The sequence below is a fragment of the Homo sapiens genome, chromosome 5 (genome assembly GCF_000001405.40).
Source record: "Homo sapiens chromosome 5, GRCh38.p14 Primary Assembly".
NCBI lineage: Eukaryota > Metazoa > Chordata > Mammalia > Primates > Hominidae > Homo > Homo sapiens.
In genome coordinates, this window is record NC_000005.10 from 108,324,374 (window position 1) to 108,348,840 (window position 24,467).

The following is a 24,467-nucleotide window of genomic DNA, read 5'->3' on the forward strand; positions in this document are numbered from 1 at the left end:
TATAACCTCACATCCATTAAGATGTCTACTATAAAAATAAATAAATAAACAAACAGAAAATAACAAGTGTCAGCAAGGATGTGGAGAAATTAGAATCCTTGGGCACTGTTGGGTGAAATGTAAAATGGTGCGACCACTATGTAAAACAGTATGGCAGCTCCTAAAAATATTAAAAATAGAATTATATTAAGATCCAGTAATTTTACTTCTGGATATATACCCCAAAGAACTGAAAGAAGGGTCTCAAAGACATTTTTGTATACCTATGTTCATAGCGTTACTTATAATAGCCAAGAAGTGGAAGCAACCCAACTGTCTATCAATAGATGAATGGATAAACAAAAGGTGGTGTGTATATGTATATATATGTGTGTGTGTGTGTGCATGCACATGTACACACATACACAATGTAATATTACTCAGCCTATAGAAGGAGGAAAATTCTAACACATGCTACAACATAGATGAATCTTGAGGGCATTAAGCTAAATGAAGTAAGCCAGTCATGAAAAGGCAATGCTGTGTGATTATAATGAATAATCTGAAAAAGAAATTAAGGTACCTAGAAGAGGTACCTAGAGGAATCAAAGTCAGAAAGGCAGAAAATAGGTACCTAGAGGAGTCAAAGTCACAAAGACACAAAGTAGAATGGTGGTTTTCAGGAGCTGGAGGAAAAGCAGTGTATTGTTGTTTAATGGGTATAAAGTTCAGTTTTGCAAGATAACGAGAGTTTTGGAGACTGGTTACACAACACTGTGAATGTACTCACCGTCACTAAACTGAATACTTAAAAATGGGTAAGATGGTAAATTTTATGTTATATATATTTTACCACAATTATTTTTTTATTTAAGAGATAAAAAAACTGATAGAAAGGCACAAACTTGCCACGTACCGCCATCAAATTCAGTCAAGGAAGAAAAGAGTGATCAACCAAGAAGTATTATCTTTGTATTCAAAACTTTACCAAGTAAGTAGAATGCATGAATTCTTATCTCAAGGAGGAAACAATTCTAAGGGCACAAAAATATAGTATCTGTGAAATATTCAGCTAGGTAAGTTGGGCAAAAATTTGATCTTAAGAATAAATGGAAAACTTGAAAAATAAGTGGGATTTATTTTAGCAAGAGAAAAAGGGATACTTTTTCAGGAAAAAGTATAAACAAAGGTAGAAACTGTGAAAAATAAGAAGAAAGGGAAAAAGAAATATTAACATAGCAGGTCCCACCTCACCATCTATAATAGAGCTTAAATCAGTTCTTAAGCAGGAAAGCAATGTTATTGAAAAACAGTAAATACCCTATTTGTCTGGAATTGGATCATAGGTACACCTAGAAGTCGTGGCATCTGACAAGCCTAAGGAGATGCTATTGCAGTTCAGAAAAACATAAAAGCGTTAGGATTAGAGTCAGAAGTAGAAACAGAAAAGCAAGGAATCAACCTAAGGAAACAAGACAGTAATAATGACAGGTGAAATACAGGGGATAGAAGTGAACAAGACATAAGCAATAGCTAACATTTTCTAGCCTACAAAACCAAAAGACTCTACTCATTCAAAAATTACTTTTGAGCAACTACCATGTGCCCAACACTCTTCTAGACAGAGGACATAGAAAGGAACAAGGAAGATAATCTCCCCATTTCCACTGAGTTTACACTTTAAGGGTGGAACATGATAAACAAACAATAACAGAGAAAAACAACTGATACTATCAGAAGATTTTAGACAAGACCCAAAAGCCCTTACCATTAATAAATTGAGCTTCATCAAAGTAAAAACCTTGCTCTCTTCAAAAGACTCTATTAAAACGAAAAGATACACACGTAGAAAAAGTAATCACAATGCATACATCTGACACAAGAACTTATATCAAAAATATAGAACTCTTATAACATGTAAGAAGACAACCAATTAAAAAAAAATAGGCAGAAGATTTGGCTGGGCGCAGTGGCTCACATCTGTAATCACAGCACTTTGTGAGGCCAAGGCAGGCAGATAACCTGAGGCAAGAAGTTCAAGACCAGCCTGGCCAATATGGTGAAACCCTGTCTCTACTAAAAATAAAAATTAAAAAAAAAATGAGCTGGGCATGGTGGTGCACGCCTGTAATCCCAGCTACTCAGGAGGCTGAGGCAGGAGAATCGCTTAAACTCGGGAGGTGGAGGTTGTAGTGAGCCAAGAACCTGACACTGCACTCCAGCCTGGGTGACAGAGCGACAGAGCAAGACTCTGTCTCCAAAAAAAAGCAAAAGATTTGAAAAGACACTTTACAAAAGAAGAGATAGGAAAGCCTAATACATATGTTAAAAGGTACTCAATATCATTAGACACAGGGCTAACCAAATAAGGTACCACCATACACTCACTGAGAGTCAAAACCACAATAAGGTACCACTACACACCCACTCAGAATGGCTAAAATTTAAAAATCTAAAAATAACACCACCTGTTGGTAGCGACATAGTAGTCCAAATGGAGTTCTCAAACATTGCTAGCAGGAGTAAAAAATGGCACAACCACCTGCAAAACTCATAATTTCTCACAAAGTTCAAGTTAAACATACACTTCCCAAACAACTCAGCCAACTCATTCCTTAAAATTTATTCAAGAGAAATGAAAGCTTTTGTCCATTCAAAGACTGGTTCATGTATGTTCACAGCAGCTTTATATGAAATACTTAAAAACTGGAAACAACTGAAATGTCCATTAACAGGTAAATGGATGAGCACATTGTTTTATGTCCTTACAATGGAATGCTATTCAGCAATAAAAAAGCAATAAACTATGATATACATACAATACTCACCTAGGAATTGTTGTCAACAATCTTTGATCCAGAAGTAAATCCAGACTTAGACTAAGGTTGACATAAGAGAAAGCTAAGCCAAAAGTCAAAAAGAACTAGCTCCCTAAATGTACTGTGGAGACAATGAATTAACTCAACCCTAAAGCCTGAACTACACCCCAGCACATTTCAGTTATAAGCCAGTAACCTTCTTATTGTTTAAGCAAACTGACTTGAGTTTTCTGCAATAAGAAAATTACAGATTATATGATGTAGTTCATATTTAATGATTTCAATATTTGCCATTTAATAGTAAGATGATTTAACTGCAAAGAATGAAGATTCATGGCAAAGAAAATGATAGACACCAAGGCAAAAAAAATGAATGGACTGGAACACCCACTGTGGATATGTTACTAGGAGTAAAAAATATAAAAGATGTAACAAGTGTAGGCAGAGTTTTGAAAACAACAAGCAAACACTAAGATTAAATATGACTCTTCCAGAAATTCCCAAGATGAAAGGCTAACTGAACCTCAAATACATAAAGCAACCATTGGTTACTTTTTCCCCTTGCTAAGCTCTCAGTAAGAACAGCATTCACTACCAACAAAGCTCTGGCAATAATTCCAGGTTTCCTTTGGTCATGAAGAAGAGAGAAGAAAAACGGCAGTTGGGAAGTTAACAAGAGGGAGGCTAACATTTGTGAACAACTATTTCCCAAGATGCTTTGTTGGACAGTTCACATACACAGAGTTCATTTAATCTTCTCAACAAAATAGATTATATCGTCTCCAATCTATACATTTAAAAAATCAAGATCCAAGGAGCTTAAATGCTTAAGAAGGAACCTGCAATTTGTAAAATGGTTAATATTGGTGTTGGAATCTATATCTGTCTGACACAAAAACTATCTTCCCACAAACCACTTGATGAGGATAAACACCAAGAAGTTTGTCACTGTGTGTCCCTTTGTCTGGCCTGGCCTTAAGGAAAGCATTAGTTACTTCCCAAAAGAAAAATATGCTCACTAATGATATGACCAAGTATATAGTATTGAACATTATTTAAAGTATCTTAAGCCTGTTTATTCTTATCTCTGACTCCAGGTATTAAACTATTTGGTGGTCTCAGAGAATGACAGCAGGAGACATGGGCATTATTTAAAAAAAATAAACAAAAACACTAGGAATGGAGATGAAGAGAAGTATGTAGAAAGACGTGCCTCTTGGTTTCATCAAAATTATCAACAAGATAACATAAAAAGGGCAGGAGAATATGAAAATATATTCTTCTGATAGAAAACCATCAAAATTTATGGCTATTGTTTGTGATGGGAAAAAATGAAAAGAGCCATAGTACCCATCAATAATGAAGTCTTGTAGAAGAGAAAATGCAATATAATTTTTGAAAATAGGGACAGATACACGCATGTTGGTATGTGTATTAAAAGTTTTCTGAAAATAATCACCAGAGGAATTAGCAGGAGGCTTTCAGTTTTTATTTTCTACTTTTCTATATTATTAGAATTTTATAATATGCACTTTTTTTTATGAGAACAAGGATTATTTGGGCCTCTTTCTTATATATCTCAATATATTGTAAAATCAACCCAAGTATATACTTTTAAATTATGAATAGCTTTCAATATTTATCAAGAGTTTTGACAGGTAACTGACTGAAGAGATACTCTAACTAATCATTTAACATGTGACTAACACTTTTACATATACCTGACTTAATCCTAAAGTAATAATGTTATTCTTATGCCATAAATGAGAAAACCACCTCAGAGTCACTTGCTAAGGGTCACTCAACTAAGAGACAGAGGTAATTATCTATCCTTTGATCTTCCCAATTCAAGCTCCAAGGTGCTTTTCATTATACCACAATTGCCTATGCAAACAAGAAGGTATTTTAAAGTTAAAATATACTTATGTAAGAACTTCTGTTTATATTTAGGTATATCTTGTCTCTTTCCAAAAAGAAATTGAGGCAGCTCTTTCTGGAAATAAACCCTACAGGAGAAACACAAGTAGAAATAAAAATTAAGGAAAAAGGAAAAAGAAGCATTTTCCAAAAAGTTATTCTATAATAAAGATGGAAGTCCTGAATACTTTGCCTTAGATGGACTACCATTTGTTTCTTGGTTTCTTAGATGTCAAAGCAAAGAGGAAAAGGACAACTATACTTCTTTAATAAAATTCACAGCATTATCTTAATAAAAGAAAACAACTGCTTAAAGTCTAGCTTTCCCTAGTATTAAGACCAGGGGGAATACTTAACTGCAGGTTCTCGTAAGGGAGGACTCATAGGATACAGTGGACAATGTCCTTAACAATAAATAAACATCAACTCAATAGAATAATGCCAAAACTCAATTCACTTTATTTAATTCTTCAAGTACTGGTACCTATGCATTACCCAAGTACTACCATAGCTCAATGAAATAAGTCTTTAACAGCAAAATACCTTTATAAAAAATTATCAGAACAAGTCATTGTAATGAGTACACCACATTATATACTATAAAATAGCTTCTTTAACTTTAATCTTCAAAATATTTCACTTGAAGATGAAATAACTTAGAAGTTATCATTAGTAAAATAAGTATTACATAAGTGACATCCCTTTCAAATTCTTACTCTTAAAACACAGTATACAATATATGAGAGGTTAACAGTCCAGGCTCGGGAACAGTGGCTTTGATACCAGGTGTTACTGTCTTCCCCAGCAAGCACTTAGATAGGTAAATACAACATAATAGGAAATTACTCCTATTAGTTAAAAGTTACTATAAAATCAGTAGACCAGCATGGCCTATGGAAAAGGGTCTGGAATCATACTGCTTCATATGTGGTTAGTATTCAATAAATACTTAATGCATGAGAGAACAATAGGCTATGGGGTTACAAAAAAATAACTGAACCATATAGCTAATAACCATGAAGTAGCCAAAGACTACTTTATGGATCCAGAATCATACTACCTGTAACAACAGAATCATGTATGCCCTAGCTTTCAATATAGTTTTCTAGGGTATAAAATAATGTCACACCACTATCAAATCTGTTTCTTCTCCCAAATACCATAAAGAAATGACTGCTATGAACCACGTGATAACTTTTTTCCATTAAATTATTCAAATGACTGATCTACATCGAGAAAAGCCAATCAGCTATACCATTTTATCTTTAAAAAATTATTTGATATTGTTTTAAAAAGTATGCAAGGGATTACTGTTTAGGTCCTTCATATGTTTAAAACAACACTGAATAAACTTCAATGCAATTAATTATGTGAAACTTCTCAAACTACAACCCAAAACCTTCTAGGCCAACTGTTTTATTAATAATTCATAAGCAATCTCACCAAGATATATTTTAAAGAACACACACAAATCAACAAATATAGATTTCCTAGAACACTTCGTAAAGCAAAGAAGTATAGTCGCAATATAAAGTACCAAGGGAACAAAAAAAACTCCCCTTCTAATAAACTCACACTATCACCTTATATTGTTTTATACATACACACATACACATCATCATCACAGGTACACACACATCATCACACGTGCACACACATCATCACACATGCACACACATCATTGCACGTGCACACACATACATATGCCCACATGAGCTTTCCACTTAGATGACAATCTCCTAAAGATTGAGACTGGTACAAACATGTATTCTATATCCTGATGAAACCTCGTCTCTACTAAAAATACAAAAAAAATTAGCTGGGCATGGTGGCGGGCACCTGTAGTCCCAGCTACTCAGGAGGCTGAGGCAGGACTGTCGCTTGAACCCAGGAGGCGGAGGCTGCAATGAGCCGAGACTGCGCCACTGCACTACAGCCTGGGCGACAGAGCAAGACTCCATCTCAAAAAAAAATGTATTCTATATCCTACAACCTTATAAATACAATTGATCATAACTTGTTCAAAAGGAAAAAATCTATTGTTGTCAATGTTAAAAAGTGCTAATTTGATCTCCAACAAAATTTTATCAATTAGTTCACTCAATATCAAGAAATCATTAACCATTCTAAGTACCGACTATTCTTAGTTACAACCAACCACATTTCCAAAGGACTGCATTAGTATGAAGGCAGATATGAGCACACATTTTTTATTTTACACAGACTTCATGTTAAAAATGGAAACTGGAGAAAACTCCATCTGTAGTGAAAGCAAATATTCTGTTTGGTTTGATTTCACCAAAACTGTGTACGAGATAAATACTAAGCTATTGACCAATTAACTAAGCTGTTACAGAAAAAGAAAGACTAATGTTTCTTACAAATTGGTAGTTTTGAAATCCAAGTCTTAAAATCAACATGAATATTTAATGTGGTTTTTCCATTTTTCTCCTTTAAAGCTGTTATTAAATCAATAGCACTTCTAGCAATCAAAGAAATTTAGTGCAATCATTTTATCCTTATGAAAAATTACAATGGCTGAACTTATTAATGACACTACACATTGATAAGTAAAACATAAAAGTCATTTGGTAAGCAAAAAATTCACTTATTTCCATTCCAAACTGGGAAATGGCTAGACATTCCTGACCAACTACACCCGTCACCTAACAGAGTAACTCTTCTAACCCGTATATCAAGTCACAGGAATTGCTAAAATTGCAACAAATCAAAACTGAAAAAAAAGACCTCGTTATCCATATTTATGAATATAACTTATAAATGAAAAATGCAAATTCAAGGGACCAACATATAGATACCACATATTCAATCTAAAGATCTGAAATAATTTGATGTGAAAATATAGTAGAGAATATCTTAAAAGTTAGAATCGAATAGTATCAACCAGTTCATCAAAATGACCTCCTTAGAAACTTATTTGATTAAAAACTAGTAAAAACTAAATAATGTACTGATCAGACATATATACAAATGTAACAAAATGGAAAGAATGATAAACATAAAATTCAGGATAGCAGTTACCTTTGAAGGGGAGTCAAGATGAGAGAAGGGAGGAATGCATAGGTAGATGAAAGTTATTGATAATATTCTAATTAATAGTATGGATGGAGCGTTCCTGAGTAAATGTTCAAAAGCTTTTTGATAAATTAACTTTTATAATGAAATAAGATTATGCCTGGACCAATTACCACAGTATATCATGAACCAACGATTGTAACTAGTAAAATTCTATGTTGCCAAGGTCCGTTTTGAAAAAAATAATTTATATTTACTTACAGAAATTCACTTTTTATAAATGCTTCCTCCTAACATTAATATTAAAACATCAACAACTCCAATCTTTTTAAACAAATATTCAGATTAAAAGAAGGATTATAGGAATTACCTGAGAAAACCAAAACAAAAATCATTCTTCTCCCTAAATCAGAGTAATACTATCATATTGGTTTCAAGTTACTGTCCGTCAGAGGTAGTTCAGGACAAACTTTTTGTTTTTTGTTGTTGTTGGGTTTTTCTGAGACAGAGTCTCGCTCTGTCAACCAGGCTGGAGTGCAGCGGCTTGATCTCAGCTCACTGCAACCTCCACTTCCTGGGTTCAAGCAATCTTCCTGCCTCAGCCTCCCAAGTAGCTGGGATTATGGTTGTGCACCATCATGTCCAGCTAATTCTTGTATTTTTAGTAGAGATGGAGTTTCGCCATGTTTGACCAGGCTAGTTTCGAACTCCTGACCTCAAGTGATCCACCGCCTCGGCCTCCCAAAGTGCTGGGATTACAGGCGTGAGCCAAGTGGCCAGGGCAAACATGTTAACAATGAAAAGCAAAAGCAAAAGCAAAAAAAAAAAAAAAAAAAAAAGAGTCTATAGTTAAAGATTATGAAATGAATCTGTATTAAGATCTTGTAATTTTCAAAAAGCTTCAAAAATAGATATAAAATCTTATATAAGAAGTTCTAAGTCAAACTACCTTAAAATGAAAGCCGAAGCAAAACATACAATAATTTATAAGCAAATTTTGCTTAAGTCAAACCAGAAATACCAGTATATATATATATATATATACATATTCAACATATTATTCTGAAATTTCCCAAGCATAAAATATATTTATAGCTAACAGTAGTCTATAAGACAAATATTAATGTGAAGACAATGCAACATAATATATATTGTTTTATATTTACATTTCCAAATATATAAAGGAAGAAGATGTAAGGTTACCTGAGAGTATCAAAACCAAACATGAGACTTCATGCAAAGATGGACAGACAAATTACTACGTTAAAAAATCACTTTTAAAATGCTAAAGTGCTAAGATTCTTTATTCCTCTGACTACAAAACAAGTAATTTCAAAAAAACTCTTACATCCAGAGTTTTGAGGACAAAATGACTGTTAACTATTTATGAACCTGAATAAAATGTGGCAGTATTTAAAATATCAAAGGTTGAGACACTGAAATCTAGTAGTGGTCAAATCTTTGCTCTTAATGTAAAGAAAAACAATATAACTGAAATTTTTAGAAACTGTCAATTCTCAATTTATCAACACAGGAAGCTAACAAAAGACAAAAATATCATCCTTCTGGACTTCAGTCACATACTCTAAAGATGAAAGGGCAGGGAAAAAGAACCATACATACAAAAACCCCAATGAGATTGTCTCTTTAAATTTTCTTTCAATTGACTTGATTAGAAAGGGTTATCTTAAAAGAAAACATAGTAATAAGTATTTATGTGCAAAGAGTTAATTCAAATTTATTCAAAATTACTTAGTGAGGTAACTTCCCAAATTTTACCATGAGGAGACCTGCTACGTGCCAAGCTCAGTACTATGCACTTTATATCCACCATTATATTTTACAAATGATCTAATTGAAGTTACAATTAGAAGCTTGAGAAATGTAGAGTTTGATGACTTGTAAAGCCTGACCTACAGTGCTATTGGAAATTGCTTATTAGTAGCATTTCCAAATATATAGTGATAACAAAGTCAGAATGAGTACATTTTAATATTTTATTCAACAGAATTTCTAGGTAATTAAGGTTAAAAAATAAATAAACACCTAAATTGCCCAAGAACTAGGAAATGAAAATCTCTGTGCTCCAGTTAAGCTTCCACTCTGACTTCTAATTCACTGTACATCAAAGAAAATCAACTTGCCCTGACACATAAGGACTATTCCCTTCAGTGATCAGGCAGGTGTTGAGGCCAGAAAGAGAGCCTATTTTCCACAGCCCTTTACCTTGTTTGATCACTGGTTACTTTTGATCTGACACTGCCCTCTGTCTAGTAATGACTTCCCCCTCATAGACCCTACCTCACATCTGTCAGAAAGAATAAAGGGCATCAAACTGAGACCTGACAACGCCTATGGGCCATGCGATGTGCTGCCAACAGAATGTTCCCCAGCTCCCACAATTTTCAATTCAGTTTCTTTTGTTCTGGTAGGTAGAGGGTTAGGGTACCAATGACAGCAGAAAGGATTATGACCAACTGTGAAACCAAGCCTTCTTGAATGTGTATCTTTTATTTTCGCTTCTTCATCTTCTTAAATGCTGCAAACTTCATGGTGGTTACTATAAAATACATATTCAACAAGTGCAATAGAAAGTTTGTTTAAAATCCTTTTCCAGGAGAAAACAAAGGACACAATACATTGTAATTCAACTATAAAGCTTTAAGGAAAAAATTTCAAACCCATGGTGTGAGATTAGTAAAGGCCCGCTGTCAAAGAGCACGTTAATAGTAAATGAAACCACCGAAGTCTTACGCGGACCACGACTTAGTGGGTACTGCCATTCACTGTCTGAAAATGGAAAAGTCCCCTAAAACAACGTACATATTTACAAGAAGTAATCATTTCAATTGTTAAATTACAAATTCTACACTATTGGTGTGAGAATAAGGTAAAATCAAAAATAAATTCCACTAGTCTTGTTTAAATAATGTGGTGAATATATACAACCTTTTTCTTAAGGCATTGATAGTACTAGTTTTTAGATGTTAGAAATTAGAAAAATCAGATCAAATATTTTGGTATCATTTTACTCATAATTTTTCAACTATCATTAAAACATTTTGAGTTCTTGAATATAAATATTTTCACTCTCCCACTCCCCCACCCCCCCCCAACACACAACAATATATGGCTCATTATCAGGCATGCAATAAGGAGATTTGCCAAAAAGCAGGCTTAGAGGATAGTATGACTTTTAAGGTTAAGACAGTATCTTTAAAAAAAAAAAATACGTTTTTTTTTTAAATTTTGAAAAGTAGGACCAGAAGAGGAAACTGCATGATTATAAGTTACAAGCAAATTTAATGTAAATATAGCATTATAATGCATACAAACAAATAACCTTAGACATGTACTAATATAGAAGCTCAGAGATGGAGGGTAAGCACTAAGGTGATTACAAGTTGACTCCAATAACTGGAAGTTCATTTCTACAACAGCTGAGAAAGGTATGCCTTAACAGAAAGGGGGAAGGTACCCATGTCTAAAGAATTAACCTGTGACACTAGGCAAATGCACACACTAGACTGAAAATGATTTACCACTATTGAAGATCAGATGTGAAATTCCTCCTATTATTATACTGATCAGCAATTAGCATAATTATATTCTTAAAAAAACCCTGTTTTTGACTGTAATCTAAAAACATGATAACATAAAGTATATTAGAAAAATGTGATTGTTTTAAATATATTTTAATGTATGAAAAAAGATTATTCTTATATACTTGGACTAACTTTATAGCAGAAAGCCATATGGGTATACTAGAAAAAGATATTACTTCTAGAGGGGAAAAAAAAACACAATTTAATCCAAGGATAAACAATAGTTTGGCAGAACCAACACTTGTCCAATTTTTTCCCCTCTCAAATTGTCCAAATGTCACTTAATCCTCCAAGAAAATGAAAAAACAAACTGCATTACTGTAACAAAATATCTATCCTTATTCTTGGACATTCTTTTCCCATTTTTGATTCTACAAAATTGTTAGAACATATTAAAGAAAAAAATATACGGGAAGAATTTATGAAACTAGAAACTAAAAACTAAAAATTTTATATAGAGTATTTTTTAAAAAACACTTGCCAGTGTAACCTCTGCGTGGTGTATTACTCTCAAAGCATGCAATGCCGGTGTTCTGAACTAAATTTAATGCCAGATCTGCCTGATGCATTTTATTGGTACCAAGAAGCAAATATTTATCAAATATTATATTTAATATCTACCTCTAATTGCAACAATAAAGTCAAGCTCTTCTGAACAAACTCAACCACAGAAGCAACTAGTTAACTTTCATCTTTTCAAGAATCAAGTAGTTAAAGTATGACAAAAGAAAAGAGACTACACTTCTTAGCAGTCCTGAGAGATTGCCTGAAACAGAAGGATGAAATACTGAAACAAACCAAATATCTTCAATGAGATGTACAACCATGTGAATGAAAATATATAACAGGTAATCTGTAATAAAATATATAAGTAATTTGTAATAAAATAATAAAAATAACTCAGTAAATAAAAATGTTTAAAGACATTAAGTTTCAAAATCCACTTTTAAGAAATCATTTTCTAAAATCTACCTAATTCTTAAAAAGAACACACTTATTTGGGACTTTACTTCTTCAAACTATCATTGCCATTCTTCTTGTATGAATGTTAATGAAAAATCACTTGATATTGCTATAGAATAAAGTATATTTCACCAATTCAGTAAATAAAAATTGAATTTTACGTCCTAAAAGCTATACTTTTATGTACATATTAAAGTATAAATGGTTATGTTTAAAGTTACTGACTTGTCTCATTTAAAATGTGATTTTAAAAGAAACTCTTTCTTCCTTATCTCAAAGAGAATTTTTGGCCAGGCAAGGTGGCTCACGCCTCCCAGAACTCTGGGAGGCCGAGGCAGGTGGATCACAAGGTCAAGAGATCGAGACCATCCTGGCCAACATGGTGAAACCCTGTCTCTACTAAAAATACAAAAATTAGCTGGGCGTGGTGGTGCACGCCTGTAGTCCCAGCTACTTGGGAGGCTGAGGCAGGACAATTGCTTGAACCTGGGAGGCAAAGGTTGCCATGAGCCAAGATCGTGCCACTGCACTCCAGCCTGGGTGACAGAGTGAGACTCCATCTCAAAAAAAAAAAAAAAAGAATTTTCCCAGAACTAAAGCAAAAGGACTTAAGTATATCAATGGTTCATCTTCACTGGCAGTTCCTTTCAGAAAATTTACAATTCATACACTGAAAAAAATTTTATTTTTAAGAAGTTCTAACAACTATCCATTTAATCAAAACACTGAAGAATATACAGGTTTCTTTAACGTGTATGCAAACGATCTCATTCTTATTCCAAGGAGTTACACTGGGAGACATTACCGAACTAAAACTCTCAAACCTACAACAAATTATCAATGGATTAGTAAGAACTAACTAAATACAGGAAGCTGACAGAATACAGGAAAGTAAAAAATGTGAGGTAATTCTCAAAGAGTATTTGCGAAAAATAATATTCAGCTGAGCTTGAAGGTAGTAATGAACACATTCTGGAAGAAAGAAGAAGAGTGATAAAAGGACAAGTACAAAAAGTAAAAAAAAAAAAAAGTAATAAGACAGAGACTAGTAACTGAAGAAATCTTTGAAATGAGCCACTACATATTTCTTAAATGATAAAAATAGTATTTTGGAAAGAGCACTCCTGGACTGTAGATATGACCAACAAAAGTCAACCTTTAGAAACATCTTAGTTTATGAGTGAATTCAGAGGAATATATACAATGTATCTTTAACCTTTCACACTTTTTTCCATTAAATTCTTCGCACAAAAAAGCTTAAAACAATGAAAAACTATAGAATGTATACTAGATCTGATGAAACTGCCTACAATTATATATGATAAACAGAGATTTATCAGTATATTAATAGAATGAGTATATGTGTATATATTAGTGTCCTGCAACAATTTAAAATGTATGAAATAGCAAGCTACAAAATTATCTTCAAATACTTAGAATAAATATTAACCTACTAAAAAGATATAGAAGTTTTATCATGTTCTCAGAGGAGTTACAATGAAAAGCTAGAACATGATGCAAATAATTTTATAACCTCTCGGCGTTCACTTGGACATTTAAACAGTAATGAATATAAATATATGCCTTCTTCTTTATATTCTCAAAGATATACAGTAAAAATGAAAATAAAAGAAAATCACCCAACTATAGTTCAGTAAGAAGGACTCGGATTTACAACCACTTTTCTTTGTATTACAGAGTCTCAATATATTTATTTATATGTTTTATTAAAGTGAATGATAACCATCTAGATTTTATGCTCCAATCAAAAATAGCCAATAAAGATCTGGTAACAGACACTACAAATTTTTTATCCCCAAACTCTCCTGAAGTAACTTGAGTACTTCTACCATCATACTTTAGAAACCAAAAATAATGAAATATGGCAGCCACTAAAGAAAAATACTATACTGATATAGTCTGCAACCTAGATGTGGCTACAACTAAGATGCAAGAGAAGAAGGGTTGGGAAAAAAAAGTATCGAAACAGTATGGACTTATCTGGCTTTTAAATTTCTTGGCTATTAAAATCTGGATGATATAGTCAACAACAACAACAACAAAAAGAATCCACCCCAAAACTCACATGATGAATACATCCTTCTACTGCCTGTCAGGTAACTTTATGTTCAAACCTTTGTAAATAATTTAAAGAAAGACAGCAAAAGAAGACAACCTACCTAATATGAGTAAGCAAAATCTGCAGCACTAATAGGAACAGTACTCAGCACACAGGTTTAGATAGGAACATCACCTGTATATCTTTGCCTGAAGACAGGGTTACCTGACAAAGGCCCAAGTGCCATAGGACATTTACAATAATGTATCTTTGTGATAATGACTACAATAAAATGATGGAAAAAGTGCATCCTATTACCCAGAAGCCAGATTCAACTACAGTTTGTAAACTATATTTAGAAAGGCAAATCTTTATTTAAAAAAGAAAGAAAGAAAAAAAGCTAATTCTCCAATTCTCCTTCCTTTAAGTTTAGTCACTGAAATAACTGGGAATAAGTCTTGGATATCCTAAAACCCTAGAACCTCATTACTGTGGATAAAAACATAAGCCAAAACTTCTTCCTAGATCCAAATAATACATTTCACTTGTTGACTGGCTAGAAAGGTAGTTCAGGAAAATATCCTCATAGATGACAGGCTTAATGTACTACTAGCATGCCACTGCCATCTAACCTTATAAAATTTCTATTTGCTAAGCCTAATGACTCAAGTCTTTATCTCAACCCACTATCTCCCGTTGCCAACACTTGAGCACAAAGCCCAAGACTGCACTTCCACACTTGTATCTTAGAGATAATTTGTTTTGCTTCAAATATCTGATTTTAACAGGTAGTCAAAAAAGAAAGCAAATAAAAATTAGATTTTTATTAAAAAAAAAAAAGGACTTAAACTACAGACTATGTATGTGGGGAAAAAAGCACTAGCCAAGGAATTACACTAAAAATAATCTACTAACCATAAATTTTAAATCCAAAAGAAGCATTCTAAAATTTGATCCAGAAAAAAATATATTTTTAAAGAATACTTAAATACTATTTGGAATTTCCTATTTTTAACCATAACAAATTCTGCATTATCCACACTGGGATATCCTTATCGGAGTTTTTAATACTAAGCTAGCTTCCTCCTGAGATCCCGTTTGCATTTGGCCATCTCCTATCATCAGCTGATGAATCCCCAGAGTTAGTGAACTAATTTTAATATTGCTAAACTAATATAATTAAGCAGGTAAATCTGCTGGGTAAAAAATAATGCATTCCAAAGAAAAATTGTCTGGATATCATCCAAGACACTGCCTGTCTTCCATACGACACTGGCACACAGGGAAAGAAAAAATACACATTCATTCTTTATTGCTTTCAATGCCTTCAAATGATAGAATATAATCCACTTATGTTCCTGCCAAGCTATGTGATTAAAAAAAAAAAAAACCTTAAGAGAAAGATACCAATAGACTAAAAAGAGAATAAGAGGATACGATCTAGCAAAGAATTTAGAATGAGTAAAAATGTATTTATTCTTCAGATTGAAATTATACTGTCAAAAAAACGTGTTTTAGGCCAGGCATGGTGGCTGATGCCTACAATCCCAGCAATTCGGGAGGCCAAGGCAGGAGAATCGCTTGAGCCCGGGAGTTCGAGACCAGCCTGGGCAATATAGTGAGACCCTGTCTCTACTTTAAAAAAAAAAAAAAAAAACTCGTTTTAAATTAAATTGGATCTTTCAAATACCACTTAAACAAAATAAAACCGATTTTATTAACAGTAAGAATGTACAAGTCAACATAATTCTGACAAGAATTACATTCTAGTTGATCAGAACTGCATGTTGTTAATGACAATTATGCCAAAAAATACCCCTTGAGTACATTAGTGACTTTGGCTGGATAAATTTGATACATAAAGAATGGCATCATTAATGTGCTAACTAGGTCAAAACAATTTACTTACTTTAAAAGTGAAAAAACATTTGACTCTTTAAGCTATTTTAAGCTTTTATTTAATAAAATATGTCACCAAAATATTTGAAGTGATACATTTTTTAAAGCATGCACAATGCAGTAGTAACCCATCTGTCCCTAACCCAACATTTATTGAATGTCTATTATATTCCAACACTAGGAGGGATGAATAAAAAGATGAGCACATATTCCTGGCCCTCAAAAGAGTTGACACTCCATCAGCAAGATACATCTCTAAAACATGATTTCAATTACCAGTAGAGAGTGATTTGACATGATATAGAAAAATTTGAAAATGTACATATCTTAGTACCATATTGTATATACTTCTCATATATGCCGTAGAGAACTCTTGAAGATGAGCACAAGAGATTTATACAATAATTTTATTGCAATACTGCCTCTGATAGTAAAACAGTAGAAGCAATGTAAGTGTCCTTCAATAGGAAATGAATAACCCAGAGATTTATACATATAATAGAATACTAACAATGAAAAAGAATGAATTATACCCATTATGGCTAGATCTCAAAAATAAAAGTAAACATGCAAATTGTAGACTCATATATACTTTGTGAGACCAGATATTTAACCATATGTCACTAGATATAAATTACATGTGACCACAAACTAAATAATACCACATCATGGGTATCCACATACATATTAAAATATTTTTTAAAGCATTTTAGATCATCATAGCAGTTGCTCTGGAAGGGAACAATGGGACAACAGTACGAATGTAAGACAACAGAGACTTGAAGTTTATTTGCTTTATTAATTCAAGCAGCAGCAGCAAATTTAATAAAATGTTAACAACTGTCAATTTATGGGTGACAGGCATACAGCTGTTATTACTCCTTTTTGTATTCTATATTTTTCTTAATTTCTCAAAATAGATAAATAAAACAAGAATTAAAATCTGATCACATTTCACACTTGCTAAAATCTCATGCTATAGTTCTTATTACCTAGAGACTTTCAAATTTCACAGCATGACACTGAAAAAAATTTAACAACCTGGTCCTTTCTTTCTTTTCCAGACCAAATATGAATACTTCCCTACTACCTAGCCTATCAACCTAGTGGCACTGTAACACTCACCACTTATTAAGCATTCCCCATATTTTTCTGATGTTTTATCTTTGTTAACGCTCTTTTCCATTAGTGCAATTACCTTACCCTAAAATATGTCTGCTTGCATATTCATCACATCACTACATGTAATTCAAAACTTAGTTCAAATGTCACTTACTATTTATAGGATTTTCAGATTCCTTTCTTATCCCTCACATAAGAATAACTATTTTTGCAATTGGTGTTTCTATAGCACTATCATGAGACCAGGATCTTCTCTCTTTGGCAGTATAACTCTTGTTTAATTCTTCGACACCTCTCACAGTGCCTGGCACATAGTAACTGTTCAAATGTTAATGGAACTGAATGAACATCTGAAACAAGTGTTAAGGAACAGAGTACAGAGTTATCAGTTCATGAATTCATTAAAATTGCCATTAAATCTTCTGGACAAAAATCAAATGGTACTAGCTTCTGAATCAAAATATCACAAAAATGTAAAACACTATGTCTGTAATACAGAGAAATTTTGTATAAAATACTGCAATTCTATTATTAATTATATTCATATTCAAATAGGATTAAGATTAACACTAAATACTAGCTTTCCTCTTTGATAATTTCAGGAATTTTCCTAGAAAAATTTTTAAATACACTTCTGCTGGTACTTGCAGCTTCTCCTGAAATCAATTATCATCCTAAAAAATGATTTTCTACTCATGCTAATAATTAACTTCTTCCTTTGATGTCTCACAGCACTGGTCCATAAGTGTTTTCAAGGGAGATAATGTCTTTTGGAAGTTGCTACTTGGTTCAAACGTGTGTGGATTAGCATTACAGGTAATGTATCCATGCAATCCAAAGGGCTAGAGAAGAGAAGTTTGGGAATCTTAACAGATCTGGGTTAGAATTTTGACTTTGACACCCACCTGTTGTTAACTTCTTTATGCCTCAATTACCTCACTGGTAAAATTGGATAAAAATAGCTACCTCATGTGGTAGTTATGAGGATTAATTATATAAAACAGCATAGTACCTGGTATATTAAAAATACTCAATAAAAGATAACTTGTATCAAACATTTTCTATTACCAGCAAATGATAGCAAAATCCTGAGATGTAGTTGCTATGGTCTAAAGGTTTGTGTACCCCCAAAACCCATATGTTGAAATCCTAACCTCCAAGATGATAGTATTAGGAAGTGGGATCTTTGGGGAGTGATTAAATCATGAGGGCAGAGCCCTAATATATGGGATTAGTACCTTTATAAAATAGAACACAGGGAGCTTGTTTGCCTTTCTACCATGTGAGGATACAGGGAGAAGGTGTCTATAAACTAGAAAGCAAGCCCTCACCAAACACCAAACCTGCCAGTGCCTTAATCTTGGACTTGTCAGCCTCCAGATCTGTGACAAACACATGTCTGTTGTTTGTAAGTTATCCAGTTTATAGTATTTTGGTACAGCAACCCAAGTGGACAAAGACAACAATAAGATGATGTTCAATATCTTTAGATCACCTCTTTAGAATGCCACATTCAAATATTACTGTTCACTGGAAACTACCATTCTGGGTTTAAGTAAATGCCCCATCCATTAAGAGGGGAAAGAACACTGAAGGCGAGTATATACTCTGGATGATTTGGGAGGCTCAAGTGAGTACTTAACCCTTTGTACAAAATCCCTCAAAAATGTAAATTATTTATGTCTGGTATTACAATTAAACTCACTTCACAAGGAGTATTTGAGAAATAAGACATCAAGATTATAGGAGGGGAACTAAGGGTGCGGACAACCAATCTCCTTAATATATTAACTCATATATAAACCCATTAATTTATTAACTCTATGGTGAACAGTAAGAGTCAGGAAATGGAAGCTTTCACATAATGCTGAATTAACTACTGCTATTTAAACTGTGACACAAATGTTTATCTTATATACTACTCTAGTTGATTATCAACATGGCTACCAATTTTTTCACCTAACTGCTACAACAGCCTCAAATCACAGCAAAGAGAAAAAAAAATTAAACTGTCAGTGGCTAACAGGTAAAAACAGACTAGGTGATATTAGACATTGATACAGCCCAATTCAAATTAGTAAACTGCAGAAAGCAAATAATAGGCTTCACTATCCTCTCCTGATAGGAGAGGAAAAAAACCTTTATTGAAGCTTTCTTGTGTTTTGTGGCAATGAAACTCATTTGGCGCTTTACCTCTTAATCTCATTTAGTCTGATCCTCAATAGAACATGTATGAAGTAGTATTGTATCCTTTCTGCAAGGAAGGAAAACAAAGTGCAAAAATTAAGATAACTAAAGCAAGTCACATGAGTAAGAAACAGCAGGATCAAGGTTTTAACTGAGTTCAGTGCAACTCAAAAATGGCGTTTGCCTCCATCTCCCCTTAAAATGCTTTCAGCCTAGGGGGTCGGGGGGGAAAGCCTGGAGAGGTGAATTTGATCCTACATCATTCATGTAAGCCTCCAAAGGATGAAATTTAAAACAAGATTGTTACAGCAGCAGTCAAAGGACTCTAAGAGAAGTCACAGAATTATAAAACTAGTAAAATATCAACTAAGAGACTGAAAAGTAAACAGTCACAATTAACTTTCAGGAAATCAACTTTCCATTTCCCTATAATCATTTCCCTATAACTTTCTGAAATCTATTCATAGTATTACTATTTTCTTGAGAATTGAGTAATCTATAATAGTTTACAGCCTAATTATTCAGAGTAGAAAATGTAAAAAATAGGCCAAACACACACATAACGCATACAGATCTACATCAAAAATACTCTGACATAGGGCATAGCACAGAAGCTATTTTTAGAATAACTCATAAAATTCCAGTAGTTTAAAACACTGGCCTATATAACAAATGGCAGGTAATCTATCCGACCTCATCGTTTTACAATGGAATAAAAAGCCACCCAAAGAGGTTCTCTGTCCAAAAAGTAGAGAAGCAGAATCTGGTACAGGGAAATTAAAGAAGCACAGGAAATATACTTAACTGAGGTTTCTAGATAATGACTATATGCTCAAACTAAATATGACTTAAAAATAGCTTTGTGGCATGCACTATACAAAAGTGATATAAAACCTATCACTAGAAGAAACAGACACATACAATATGCTAGACCCTCACTACAGCTATACTCCTCAAATCTATGTGTATAGTCGACACAAGAGTTTTACAGCAAATGCAAACTATACCTATGTAGGTACATGACACCTGTCTCACTCAAAAATAACTGAAACAGAACTCAAAGAATTCTCTTTTGGGAAAATTCTACATCTAAGGCCGGGCACGGTGGCTCACACCTGTAATCCCAGCACTTTGGGAGGCCGAGGTGGGCGGATCATGAGGTCAGGAGTTCGAGACCAGCCTGACCAACATGGTGAAACGCCATCTCTACTAAAAATACAAAAAAAAATTAGCTGGGCATGGTGGCTTGCACCTGTAATCCTAGCTACTCAGGAGGCTGAGGCAGGAGAATTGCTTGAACCTGGGAAGAGGAAGTTGCAGTGAGCTGAGATTGTGCCATTGCACTCCAGCCTGGGTTACAGAGCAAAACTCCATCTCAAAAAGAAAAAAAAAAGAAAAAAAAATTGTACATCTAAGTCCTCAGTTCTCTGCTTCACCATAACTCATTTATGGCAAATCATTGTCCTCACTTTCCACATGAATAAAACTTCTCCCTCATAAACACAGGAATCCTTCCCCTTTTCTAAAGTTTATCTTACTTAAACTAGTGCCACAAATAAAAATGTTCTACTATCTTACTACTTTGTGTAAAATGGTAAGTTCATCCTGTGGCATTCTAGATACAATTATTTTAAATAACTTAAGAAGAAATTTTCCCATTAAGGTCACATAAAGAACAAAAATGTAAAATAAACCACAACATCAGCAGAAACCATCAGCAGAAACTTATAGAGGCATTACATCCTTATAGTTACATCAAGGACATAAAAGCTATGTCACAGAAATATACAAAGACAATGCTGCCATCTAAAGGCCAAGATATAATATGAAAAGATGTATGTATACTCAAATACTACCAAAATAGCTTGATATTTTAAGTCAGCAAAGTTTATATGAAAACTATGCTATGATTATTTTTAGACTCTGCAATTAAGCTATAATACTCTTTTTGAGAATATTCAGTTTATTAAGAGAATTAGCAAAATAATTTGACTGATTATCAGTATTTGTCAAAGCATAGTTGAAATTCTTTTGGCATTCTTTCTGACAGTGTTCTCTGTACGTACCTGTATTAGTTGCTAACTTAAAATATTTGTTGTTACATTACTAAGAATAGGTGTCAAAGTAAAAACATCCTAATTACTTAAAGCTATGGCTTCGCAAGTATTTAAATATTTCTCTTTATTTCATAAATTTTAAAAATACAAACTTCCTATAGGAGGTTAGTTATCAATATCTCAATTATCCAATAAAGAGTTCAAATTATTCTAAATTTCCTTTTGTAATAAACTTAAATGGGAAGAACTGTAGTGAATTAGCCTTTAAGACTTAGCAAAATTACCTCAAATTTCCAATGAAATGAAAATGTTAAATAAAAAAAAATACAAAACTGATGCCCTTAGCATTTACGTATATAACATATTTTTAATGTACCAAAATACTAGAAAAAAACTAATGTGAACATAACAAAAACCTTAAAAACATAAACAGTTGCTTTCTTTGGGAAACCATTGGCTAAAAATTGTTTGATTGCCAATAAAACTATTTCTTTATGTTTACTCAACAAGAAAAATAAAAGTCAACAAATATCCTACTGCTTGAGAAACAGAAAACTTCTAAATTGAGATCACCATCCTTTAATTTACCTTGGATGTAAAGTGAAAACCAAAAGTTAGGTAACAAATACAGTTGTGATGCCATAAAAACTACTATGTTTTACATATCTCCTGTAAGTCAGACTTCGTACTAGACAACTTAAAGATACAGTGTCATTTAATCGTCAAAACTATAACTAGCAAATAGACAGATATCAATAACTTCATTTACAAATGAGGTGTAAAGAACTCAAGTAACTTTCCCAGGGTCACTATGCAAGTGAGTGGATACCAATATTCAAAAATTCAGTCTAACACAGACCTAACTTCTCTTTACAAAATCCTACTGTCTCAAGAATGACTATTACATAAAAATTATTAAATGTTATGAACTCCAAGGGGCAATAAAAAGATCTCTTCATTTTTGAAATACAACTAAAAAAGCAAGTCTTCTTTGTAGTATACTACACATTCAGGACTACCCTGACAACATTTTCAAATACAGACATGCATTGCTTAATGACAGGAAAATGTTATGAGAAATGTGTCATTAGGTAATTTTGTCATTGTGTGAACATCACAGAATGTACTTACACAAACCTAGAGCATACAGAAAGCCCTGGGCCATATGGTATAGCTTTTATTGCCCCTAAGCTGCAAAGCTGAACAGCATGTCACTGTAATGAATACTGCAGGCAACTGTAATACAATGGTATTTCTGTATCTAAACATAGAAAAGGCAAAAATACAGTATAATAATCTTACAGGACCACTACTGTATATGCTATCCACTGTTAACCCAAACATTGTTATATGGCCCATGACTGTATGTACGCTATTTTTCAATTTTAAGAACTCCTACTGGTGCATCCTAGTGACAACTTTTTCTTTTAACTGATATGATGTACCTATCATATAAAAACATAAATGCTTTGGAATATTATTCAGCCATAAAACATAATAAAGCTCTGATACATGATAAACACGAATGAGCCTTGAAAACATCATGCTGAGACACCAGAAACAAGACCACGTATCACGTGATTCCATTTATACAAAATATCTAGACTAGGAAAACCCATAGAGATAGAAAGTAGATTAGCAGTTGCCAGGGACTAGAAGAAGGGTAAAATGGGGAGGGATAGCTAATGGGCACAGGATTTTTTTAGGGGTAATGAAAATATTCAAAAATTAGACATTGGTAATGACTGCACAACATGGTAAATATACTAAAAACCGATGAGTTGTACACTTTAAAAGGGTGAAATGTATTTTATGTGAATTATCTCTCAAAAAAAATTGTAAGATTTTTAAGCACAATATATTAAATGTGTCTGCATTACCCATGTATGTGCTTAAAATATAAAATCTATGTAATTGCCCTATTATATGCTCTAACTTATTGAATCCCATTTTTTATGATACTAAGTAAAAGACTCTATTTTACAAGAGTACATTTTTCTGGACAATAAAAAAAATTCTAACTGTCTAGAATTATTATAATCCCTAGAGATATCAGAAAGAACTACACAACCACAGACTTATGTTTGGCAAACAAATTTGATTTTTCCAATTTACCAGTATTAGTTCACTGTCCACATTTAGAAAAGATGCATTGGCACATGCTAATGAGGGATTTTTAACATGCAAGTACCACACACAAACACCATCTATTCAGTTAAAAGATCAATTTATAAAATCATCACTTTAAAAGGATTTTTGCTTTTGATTAAGTAGTATTTGAACCATCACAAGAAAATAAGCAGAAAAAATTATAAATAAACTTGAAAGAATTCGAAGGTTAGGAACAAAATGAACAATACAAGGATGATAACAAGTACTTACTAATTTGTTTTCCTGCATGTATATCCTTTGTAATTTCAGACAGCCCTTAGCTATGACGATCATGCCTTCATCTGAGATCTTGTAACACTGGCCGAAATGAATATCTTTGAGTTCTCTGCATTTTGAGCCCAGCTGTAAACAAACAGATTTAGCTGAATGCTCAAAAAATAACAAAGGCAACATATTTCAAGTGAGATTTTCATATAATTTTTTGAAAATAACCACGTCAGAGTTAAATATTTATGTTACTTGTAAAATAAGATAGAATGTAAGCAATCCATAACTTAAAACAGTACTGTATAAACATTTTTAACCTTCTAATTTACCCCCGTTTCAACCAACTCACATTACAAGCCCTCCAAGGTATGTATATTCCTTAACAGTTCAAAATTACATATCTATTACTCCAGTATATATATTTTTAAAGACAGGGTCTCACTGT

At 33.1% G+C, this 24,467-nt stretch overlaps 1 protein-coding gene across 13 annotated transcripts in view; it reads right to left on the reverse strand.

Annotated features, from left to right (window-relative positions):
• Window positions 1–24,467, reverse strand: part of FBXL17 (F-box and leucine rich repeat protein 17) — a 523,064-nt gene that overhangs the window by 465,339 nt on the left and 33,258 nt on the right. For 10 of the 13 annotated variants that reach the window (XR_427717.4, NM_001163315.3, XM_005272048.5 and 7 more), the window contains exon 4: window positions 24,026–24,157. Coding sequence is in view for 11 of the 13 variants with exons in the window: in NM_001163315.3 (NP_001156787.2) it covers window positions 24,026–24,157 (132 nt within the window). In the remaining 2 variants the exon portion in view is untranslated. Of the gene's footprint in view, window positions 1–16,318; window positions 19,654–24,025; window positions 24,158–24,467 lie in introns of those variants that run through there. The other 3 variants (XM_011543580.3, XR_007058627.1, XM_011543579.3) reach the window with 3 other exon arrangements.